Genomic DNA, 11,626 nt, shown 5'->3' with positions numbered 1-11,626 from the left:
TGATTTGTCAGAGGACTTTATTAAGCAGCTCTTATCAATGTCCTCTACCTACCTGGTCATGGATGGTCAGGGCCTGTCAGCAGTTATCAATAAAAGAATAAATGAATTCCATTTGGCCACTGGCTCTTTGTGTAATCATTCGATAAGATCCCATGGACAGGAATGAAAATAGGCATAGATGATTTAGAGGGAAGAATTTGAACTTTCTCCAGTCTCTGGCAGTAATGTTTGGGGTCCCTCAGCTGATTCTACTGATAGACATGATGAACTCTTTTAATATATTTATCCAAAATGTCACCTTTAATAGGTCACCATCAGTTGGAGATTGCTTCCAAACATGGCTGCAATTTCCTACCCTTATCTATATCTATGTCCTTTTGCCATGTGATCTTACAGCTCCCCCAGTCATGAGGTGGAGTCTATTTTTTCACCCTTAAATCAGGCTTACCTAATAGAATTCAGTGCCAGTGATGGTGTGGCAGTTTCAGGTCCAGGCCTCATGAGGCCTTAAGTGCTTTTGCTTGATTTCTTATGCCCAGGCTAGTCTGCTGGAGGATGAGAGGCCAGTCACCAGAGCCACGTAAGCTTAGTTGCCCCAGCTGAGGTCCCAGACATGGAGAGACCCCAGCCAAGATTACCGATATGGTTTGCATTTGTGTCCCTGCTCATATCTCATCTAGAACTGTGGTCCCCTGTGTTGGAGGAGGGGCCTGGTGGGAGGTGAGTGGATCATGGGGGCAGATTTCCCCCTTGCTCTTCTCATGACAGGGAGTGAGTTATCATGAGACCTGGTTGTTTAAAAGTCTGTGGCCACCTTCCCCTCCTCTCTCTCTTCCTCCTGCTCCAGCCATGTAGGATGTCCCTGTTTCCCCTTTGCCTTCCACCATGATTGTAAGTTTCCTGAGGCCTCTCCAACCATGCTTCCTCTAGAGTCTGCAAAACCATGAGCCAATTAAATCTCTTTTCTTTATAAATTACCCAGTGTCAGGTAGTTCTTTATACAATGCAAAAATGGAGTAATACAATCAGCAAAGCTATCAGCCTAACTTGCAGCTGACGACAACATGTAAAGGTGCTCTGCCATGACCAGATGAACAACTCAACCGAGCACAGCCAAAATTGCCAACACTTAGGAGCTGAATCTTTTTTTTTTTTTTGGGACTACGTATTGGTATGATTTGTTAGCCAGTCATAGCTAGCCGATATACCATTCTGTTTTATTTCTGTATGTTAATCATGTCTATCATCACCCAAGAGATGTTATTGCTGGGGACAATGAGTAGTTATTAAGTGACTATACTCTCACGAGGCTGAGCTATGCACATTACAACACAATTTACCCACAGACGCGTTTAAGAACTCAAATTTAGCTGACATCTCAAATATTCTGATTTAAATATGCAACTATACTCATTTGAAATCATACTATTTATCACACCAGTTTTTTGTATACAATATGTTTCTAGGCACAATACAGATTGCCTCTATTATAAACCACAGGGTGTGATCTACAGGAAATAGCACATTTTTTTCTTATTTTACACTGCAATTAGTATGTTTAAATCACAGAGCGAATCCAGAATATCAATCTGCTTAGCGTGTCTCCATTTAATTCACTAACAACATAAAATATATGTACATTTGGCAGTTGAAATGAAAAATAATGAGGCACTTAGAGAAATTAGATTACCACATTATAATATAGTAAGACTTTAATGATACGAGTAGCATATACCATACATTTTGGTATGTGAGAAGCTATACAATTATCAACAGTGTGGATTTTTTCCTTTTGGTTGCCAGAAAGTATTCATGTGATTTACAATCAGATGTAATAATGTTGTTCTATTGGAGTAAAATCTATTATGACACACATCAGTTTTATTAATTCTATTCTATTGGATAATTGGAGACCTCCCCTGTTTTTTAAAATGACAGACTAGAGACCTCAGCTCATTTTACACTTTTTAATTGCATGCTCGTCTTTGGCTAAATCTTTTTCATAAATTTCAATTCAACAAAGCAAAAATGTAGCACCAAGTTAAAGCTTAATGAATTGGTTAGAATTAGCTCAGAAGTCAAAGAAACTGGTTTAGTTGTTGTCGTTTAAGTATTTCTTCTTAATTGATTTGAAGTTTAGTTGAAGAGAGCCATGCCTGAGTCACTCATGTCACTGCTAACATTGAGTATGTATGGTTTGCTGCTAAGATGTCAGAGCAAATGGAAATAGCTTATGAGTAGTGGGCAAAGTTATAATCACATCTGCTGAGAGTTTCAAGATCCCTTGGCATGCAGTCTCCAGCAGATACCTGGCAGAGTTGTAAAATGCCACACAGGAGTGGCTTTTGGTTATGGCATATAGCACTGTCGTCTCTTTTTCCAGAATGACAGCGACACATACTCATTTCAGTAAATTGACTTCGCCAAGTGATACATTCTTTGGAAAAGTTCAAGCCCAGCAAATAGAAAAAAAAGGACAAGGTAGCATATTGACATGGGAGAGATTTGCATGGCATTTCATAATGTGTCAAATAAGATTAACAGCACTGTATTTTTCTCCATTAGAAACAAATTCCAGCTGGGCGTGGTGGTAAAGCCTGTAATGCCAGCACTTTGGGAGGCTGAGGTGGGAGGATGACTTGAGCCCACAGGTTCAAATCCATCCTGGGCAACATAGTGAGACCCTGTCTCTAGAAAAAGTTTAAAAAATCAGCTAGGCATGATGGCACATGCCTGTAGCTCCAGCTACCTGGGAGGCTGAGATGGGAGAATTGCTTGAGCTTGGGAGGTAGAGGCTGCAGTGATTTGTGATCCCATCGCTGAACTCCAGGCTGAGTGACAGAGTGAGACCCTGTGTCAAAAAAATAAAAAAAATGAAAAATTCAGTATGAGTACTATCTTGGCACAGCTGGATAGAATTATCTACCTAAACACATACTCAGCAAAAACTAATAGCTTTGCTAAGGTCAGATGATTTCATTGTTCTTTTTGGGAGTTTTTTTGTTTAGTTGCATTTACCACTTTAGATGGATAACTTAGTGCCATTTTTCCTGAGCTCTTTTAAAATAATTTTTAAGTTGAAAAGCACAAACTAATAGGAAGTCACCTACCAAACAAAACTGACAAACTGACAATGATGTCATCTTATGAAATCAATGGAATCATCTTTCCTCCTGCCATGGTCTGGATATTGTGTCCTTCCAAAATAATATGCTAAAATGCTAACCCCCAAGGTGATGGTTAGGAGGTGGGACCTCTGGGAAGTGATTCCTCATGCCTGGGTTAGTGCCCTTCTAAGACAGACACAAGGAAGCCCATTAATGAAGAGAACAACACAATAAAAAGGTAATATCTATGAGAAAGTGAGCCCTTGCCAGACACCTAATCCACTGGTAGCTTGATCTTGAACTTCCCAGCCTCTGGAACTGTGAGAAATTAATTCCTATTGTTTATAAGATACCCAGATTAAGGTAGTTTGTTATAAGAGTCCCAACCAACTAAGACACCTTCCTTACTTAACAACATGTCTTATAAGGTCTAGTACAAATAGGAGACATAGGAAGCTCTGCCTTGAATGGAAATGATCTGACTTACACAATTTAGTGCAGGAGGGAAAAGAATGAGTTTCCTAGCTTCTTATTTGAGGTGTGGGAGGTAGAACACAAGGATGGAGGTAAAGGTCCAGGATGGGTCAGGCATTGGAAAGAGTTTGGTTCTAAAAACTTTTAGGTAGAGATGGGCATCTGAGACTAACTGTGCTATCCAGTGGCAGAACGGAGGAAACTAAAATAAGATCCTGGACTTCAGCCAGACCAGAAGTCTCAGGCTCCCAAACTACAGTTACCAAAGAGTGATGCAAGCCAATGAGTACACCAGGTAGGCAGGTGGGACACACGAGAAGAAATTGTGTCAGAAGCTCCTGAAGGAAGCCTTCAGATATTGAGAAAACCATAGGTCATTATATACTGAGCAGAGTGATTCAGAAACATTTAACAAGTTGGACCACAGCAGCCACTTCCTTCTTCAACCAGGAGGAAGCTGCTAATATATTTCCCACTAAATATATTAGTGAGCCAAGCTCAAGTTCAAATATACAAAGCCCCAGGGTTGAATGGCAGTAAATTATTCCAAGAATATATAATATAAATATAACTCATAGGCAATACCTTTTATTCTTCATGCTACTCTCTTGCACAGCATCGCAACTTGATCTTACACTCACTGCATCATGTGCAGTCCAATTGAACCCAATTTACTGATATAGAAAGAGAATCAGAGTATTGGTGACTTGTTCATAGTGCCCCAAGTAGGAAGGGGCAGAATTGAACTAGAATTTAAGGCTTGTAACAGCTGGCTGAGCCTTTTCCCCTCTATTGCAGGCCTTAGCACACTGTATCTGTAAAGGGCCATTGTATGGGATGAATTACGCCTCAACCCCTGCTAATTCATATGTTGAATTCCTAACCCCTACTACTTCAGGATGTGACCTTATTTAGAGATAGAGTCTTTACAGAAGTAAGTTAAAAATGAGGTCATTAGTATGGGTCCTCATTCGATATGACTGGTGTCCTTCAAAGAAGAGGAAAATGTGGACTCAGGCAGAGAAGCAAGACAATGTGAAGACACAGGGAGAAGGTGGCCATCTGCAAGCCAAGGAGAGAGGCCTGGAACACATCCTTCTCTTCCAGCCCTCGGTAGGAATCAACCCTGGCAACACCTTGATCTCAGACTTCTAGGCTCCAGAACTGTGAGACAATAAATTTCTGTTGTTTTAGCCGCCCAGTCTGTGGTGCTTTGTTGCAGTAGACCTAGCAAACAAATAAGGCCATAAAGTAAACATCTTTGACTTTGTGGACCATAAGGTCTTTGTCACAATTACTCAACTTTGCTGTTACAGCACAAAAGCGGCCATAAACAGTATGCAAATGACAGGGTAGAGATATGTTCCAATAAAACTTTATTTACAAAAACAACCATTGTAGGCTGCAGTTTGTCACTGCTATTCTACACTTTGTTGCTCTGAAAATGGGTGCTTAGAAGGTTATGAATGGCCAAGTGTAGGCCCAGAGGCACATGGTAATGAATGAAGTTGGCTGGAAATCTGCAAAACTGAAAACAACAATGGCAACAATTATCTTCAGATTGTTCTCAGTCCCCCTTGGGAATAACTTTCTATCTGGTTTGTAGTGACTGCCAAACTTTGTATGTAGGCACATTATTTTGGGTTAAAGATGGTTACTTTATTTTATTTTTTTGGCTACTCTTCCCATCCAACAGGTGGAATCTATTTACTTCCCCTTAAATTGGGGATGGCCTTGTGATTTGTTTTGACCACTGGGAATGCCACAGAAGTAAAGCCATACCAGTACCAGGCCTAAGCCTTAAGAGACCTGGAACTTCTGCATTCACTCTCTTGGAGCTCTTATAAAGAGGTCCAGCTACCCTTCAGGAAAGACTACGTAGAAACAGGAAGAGAGATGTCCAACAGGTCCCTACATATTCCAGCCATCCCAGCTGAGGCATCAGACTGTCCTTGCAGTCTCAGCTGAGCTTCCACTGAGTATAGCCTCTTCTTTTTTTCTGCTTCCACTCTACCAGGAAAATGTAACCTCTTGAGTGCCCCAGCTGATGCCACATGGGAACAATCCATTCCTACCCAGCCTGTCTAAGTTGCAGAACCGTGTGTAAATTCATGATTGTTGTTTCAAGGCACTAAATTTGGATAGTTTGTTATACAGTGATAGGTATCTGACAAAGACAGCACACTGCCCTCCATTTGCCCAGGATATCTACTCTTAGCCCAACATAAGTTTCCCTGATCAAGTAGCATTTAGTGTTCCTAATGCCTTGTGTCCAAGTGTTCTCGGACTTTCCATCAAGACTCATGTACCTTGAGGAAATTTCAGATATTATAGTAAGTGGCTGGGATGGGAACAAAGGGAACTGTGGGGTAAAGACCTGTAATATTAGAACTTACGTCTTTGACCTAAATGCCCTACTGAGGTTACAAGACATTTTTGGTGGAAATGTGGTAAGGAGAAATATTCTTAATCTAAAGCACAGTATCAAATTATCCTTACCATCGTCTTACTTTTAGGAGCTACAAAGACATAGCATGAACATGAAGTTATCCAGTTCATTCTCACTCCAGTTGAGTTGTTGGCTCTTTGGCCTTCTGGAGAGGGCACCCTTATATGTCATTTTTTGTAGCCTTTCCTATTTTATCAGTCTAAACTGTGTTCTAAAGTAAGTTTTGTAGCTGAACATCACCCATGCTTCTTAAGATGCAGCGTTAGATTATGTGCCTCTTATTTAAGGAAGAAAATGTCTGGCCTTTTCTCAAATAGGAGAAACTATGGACTTGAATAATTGACTTGATTCAATGACTGAATCATTTTCTAGAATGACTTGAATTATTTTTCAGAACTAATGTTTTTGTATGGCTATACTAGAGACTATAATCAGAGTGAACACTTGGGTAAGACCATTCATTCCTTACCATTGACAGATGACATTTCCTAATGAACAGCTATCCCTTGTCATTTACTCCTCAGAAACCACTGACAGAAACTCCCCTAGAAACACATGAAGTTTCCTTTGTTCTTGCCATCAAACTATATATATGTATTACATATGTATATGTACTCCTTCAAAATTACTTTTTTGCTAGATTATATGTATTTCAGTTACTTCTAATTTATAAAAGGTATGTGTGTAAAAGAAATATGTATACATGTATATAATATACATATTGCAAATAAGAAATAATTTTGGAAAAAAGAAATATAGAAATAAAACTGAGAAGTTAGGATGAGCTTCTGGAACCCTGACACTGGCAGACTCTGAGGAGCTTACTGTTTGGGTGATTCATCCCTTGCACAAAGTAAATTTCTCCCAAATTCCTGACTCTTTTTCACCCGTGCTCATAACACTACCTAAAATTTTACCAATTAGAGATTCGTTAAGGTTATTATCTGCTTGCTAAAATGTATAGAATTATCAACGTGTTAATGGGCTATGAGTTCTTCACACATTTGTAGATTGGCCCAACAAAATAATACTTAGAATTTGGCTTGCAGCTTAGTTGACACCATGCATTCCTATGGTTTATATTTTAAATTTTATTCCTCATTATCATCATGTGATTTAGGCAAAGGACTATTACAATTTCTTACCAGAGCAATATCAGACACAGGGTTTAATTGTCTTTTTTCTAACTTCAACCCAAGAGCCATCCCACAAATAGATTCTGAAATGTGGTTTTAGGAAAATGAAGTAAATGGTTTCTGGGAGTGAGTCTGGAGAAGAGGATAGGGAATACAGAAGGGGAAATGAAGAACGACAAGGCCCTGGGCTTGTGGTTGTCAGTGGAGAGGGGTGCCATGCACCAAGAGAACAGTATAAAAAGTGAAGTGAGAAAGCAATTTCACAACTCTTTTAAATAATCCCTGCCATTAGCAATGAGTAAGAAAAGCTCTGTTTTGTCATCCTTCTCCTGTCCTCTCTGAATGACTGGGTCTGCTCTCAGGACATAGGTCTTCGGCCACATTTCAACTATATTAATAGTTGCGTATATTTTGTGTGATATCTTAGCAACATGATCGCTATGTACACAGTTGTATTTTTTTAAAGTGGTCAGTTGAAACAACTGCTTTTTAGATTTTTGGAATAAAGTCAATTTTTAAACTCAGAATTCCCTACCTATGTTTCAGGGTTGCTTTCTTGCTGTTATGTCTCTAAAGAGAGTGGACCACATCTTAAAAATGGACTTGCTTTAGAAAGAGCATCTTGTGTCCATCACTTCAATAAACTGGGGACAGACTGAGGCAATTACATCATAAACTCTTATTTTTAAAATGAATTAAAAAGAAACCTTTTTGACAGGTGACTTTGCAATTCACAGATTTCCTGATACTGTTCTCTAAATCTAAAACAACCTCATTGTACATGCTTATAAGCATCTATAAATATAAATACTAGAGCATATTTCCAGTAAACTGAGGGAAGATAGTTATAAGCACACCTTGGAGATGCTGTGGATTCAATTTCTGATCACCATAATAAAATAAGTCATATAAATTTTTGGTTTCCTAGTGCATATAAAACTTATGTTTATACTGTAGTCTTAAGTATGCAATAGCATTATGTCCATAAAAAGAATGTACCTACTTGAGTTACAAAATACTTTAAAATGCTAATGATCATCTGAGCCTTCAGTGAGTCTTAACTTGTTTGCTAGTGGAAGGTCTTATCTGTATGCTGATGGATGCCGACTGATCAGGGTGGCGGTTGCTGAGGTTGGGATGGCTGTGGCAATTTCTCAGAATAAGACAATGAAGTTTGCCACATCGATTGATCTTCATTTTATGAAAAATTTCTTGGTAACGTGATGCTGTTTGATAGCATTTTACCCACAGTAGAACTTCTTTCAAAATTGGAGTCAATGCTGTCAAATCCTGACACTGATTTTTCATCTAGGTTTATGGAATATTTTAGATCAGTTCTCATTTCAACAATATTCACAGCATCTTCACCAGGAGTAGATTCCATCTTAAGAAACCACTATTTTTGCTTATTCATTAGAAGAAACTCCTTATCCCTTCAAGTTTTATCACAGTATTGTTAACAATTCAGTCACATCTTCAGGCTTTACTTCTAATTCTAGTTCTCTTGCTATTTCAACAACATCTGCAGTTACTTCCTCCACTGAAGTCTTGAGCCCCTTGGACTCATCCATGAGAATTGGAATTAATTTCTTCCAAACTCCTATTAAAGTTGATATTTTGACCTCCTCTGATGAACCATGAATGTTCTTAATGGCAGCTAGAATGGTGAATCCTTTCCAGAGGTTTTTCAATTTATTTTGCCCAGATCTGTCAAAGGAATAATTTTCCATGGCAGCTATCGCCTTACAAAATGTATTTCTTAAATAATATATTTGGAAGTTGAAATGACTCCTTGATCCACGGGAAGCAGAGTGGATGTTCTGTTAGCAGACATGAAAACAACCTTAATCTCCTTGTGCATCTCCAACAGAGCTCTTAGGTGGCTAGAAGTCTTTTTCTGAGTAGCGGTTCTCAACAATGGGCTTAGAATATTCATTTAACCTTGCTGTAAAAGGATGTGCTGTCATCTAGGCTTCGTTTTTCCATTTCTAGAGCACAGGCAGAGTAGATTTAGTATAATTTTTAAAGGCCCTGGTACTTCAGAAATGGTAAATGAGCATTGGCTTTAAGTCACTAGCTGCATTAGCTTTTAATAAAAAAGTCAGTCTGTCCTTTAAAGCTTTGAAGACAGGCATTGACTTCTCTAGCTATGAAAGTCCCAGATGGCATTTTTTCCCCAATAGATAGCTATTTCATCTACATGGAGGATCTGTTTTTTAGTGTAGCTACATTCATCAATTATCTTAGATCTTCCGGATAATTTGCTATAGCTTCTACATCAGCATTTGCTGCTTCACCTTGCACTTTTTTTTAGAGGTGGTGAGATTTTATTTCCTCAATTCTGAGCTAAAAATTCCACACATTTGGCACATGTGTTACAAGGAGGGGGAAAAGCAGGGAAACACCACTGTATACCTCTCATATTTTGGTACTGCGAGTACAACCATAACTTTGTTTGCTATTGGCAACTGGCAATCACCTCTGTGTTTACATTGAAAGCGGTGGGCATTGGTGATATTCACCATACAATACTGGTGGGCATGAAGCAGCTTTCTTTCCATTCTTCTGAATGTGATCTTCATTCATTTTCTCCAAAGCTTCTGTCTTAGCTAAAAAAATCCCCTTCATTATCTGCTGAGATGTTTAAAACAGCATTGAAGAGGTCTCATTCATTAATGGCTTTCCTTACTACTCCTTTCTGGAAAAAGTGTGAGACATTTTATAGTCATGGAACAATGATTCCAGTCCATTAAGACACGTTGGTTCTTCTGACTGACTGATGTCAAACAACCAGACCTTTGCAGCATGCCAAAGTATGTTATACTTGCTGAGGTTGGTATAAAAAAGTGTACATTCATTACATAACCGCTGCATCAAATGAAGAGTTTGTTAGTAGGTTTCTTCCATTCCTTCACTACTGAGCTTTACTTCTTTTAATTTAGGGGCTGGAACATAATCATGGCCAATAAAAGACATAACTAAAATGTATTTCTTGCACTCAAGTTGTATAACTGTTGGATGAGGAATTCTAGTTCTCTGCATTCTTGAGAGATTGTGGATTTCGCTTTCTGCCCACATGTGAATAATCTTATGTGGACTTAGTTTACTGAGGTGATCTTGAAACCTAAGATCATCTTTAACTTATTTGTCATGAATCTTCCACTCATTAAGGGTTGTTGTAAATACCATGATGGCACATTCTGTAGGTATAACTTTACTATATTTCTTTTCATCCTCCGTGCTCTTTCTGTATACATGAAAGACAATAGATTTCTCTCCTGTACTAATAGTCAATGATTGTCTCAAACATTCCAGAGTTGACCATTTTTACATAAGAAAACATGTCTCAGGATCAACTGCATTTTCTTCCGTAGAATGCTCCTTTTTCTTGTGGAGGCAGGCACTTTGCTGTTCTTCTGAGTAGGCATGGTGTTTTGAAGCATCAAAAACTTTGTTTGGTAGTTTTAAATCCATTCTGTCTTCTACCTGAAATGCAGGTGCAAAATTTTCCGTTCTTGCTGGATTCTTTCTCCCACATACTACTTCATGATGTTTGGTGGCAATGCCTTTTCCTTTTCCAATAAAACCCTTTGTGGGAGTGGGAACTGGTTTTGCTAGTCAGTAGAGATCATCATGAGTATCCTGCCAATCAGCCTCACCTTCAGAGCTATCACTGTCTTCATCAGGATGCACTTTTCAATAATTTTCAAAGGACATGGAAACTTTTCTATCTCCACTGAATTTTCTTTTCTTTATGTCTAATTGTGCATCATATTCTTTGCCAAATTCCATGTATAATATCTGAGCCAACATTAGGTCACTGGAAGTGTCAATGTTTTCTTCAGTAATAAATGGTCTTTTAGCAACAGCTACTTGAGGAAAAGTGACAGTTTCTTCCCCTAACTGCAGTTCTTTGACCAACTGTTCACTCATTATATCAGCCAAAGAACAAGATATTGTCATTTGAAGGGTAGCCCATGGACAATTCCTGAGTCCCCAGGCCACTGCTGGCTTGGGCTTAGGCAATGTCACTTCCGCCAGATTTTGGAGGGGAAGAAGTTCAGTAACAAGAACAGAGCACAGAGGTGGTAGGACAGGAAGCAGGCTCTACCAAGGAGATAGGTGGAGCCAAGGTAACCAGAACTGAAGTGACAGATCCATCTCACATTTTTATGTGATAAAGATAGTTTCTATCCCTAAGCTTCATGAATGAACCGCTGCCAGCTTCAGGTTTTCTCCTTTGCATCTTCCTCACCTCTCTCAGCCTTTACAGAATAGAAGAGAGTTAGGGCCTTGCTCTGGATTAGGCTTTGGCTTAAGGGGATGTTGGTGCTAGTTTGATCTTCTATCCAGACAACTAAACTTTCTCATATCAGCAATAAAGCTGTCTTGCTTTCTTAACATTTGTATGTTCACTGGAGTAGCACATTTAATTCCCTTCAAGAACTTTTCTTTTATAT

At 39.0% G+C, this 11,626-nt stretch overlaps 1 pseudogene; it reads right to left on the bottom strand.

Moving 5' to 3' along the window:
- On the bottom strand, positions 9,477 to 11,300 carry RIOK3P1 (RIO kinase 3 pseudogene 1; annotated as a pseudogene).

The sequence above is a fragment of the Homo sapiens genome, chromosome 13 (genome assembly GCF_000001405.40).
Source record: "Homo sapiens chromosome 13, GRCh38.p14 Primary Assembly".
In the NCBI taxonomy this organism is placed as follows: Eukaryota; Metazoa; Chordata; class Mammalia; order Primates; family Hominidae; genus Homo; species Homo sapiens.
This window is presented reverse-complemented; position numbering and strand designations above follow the sequence as displayed.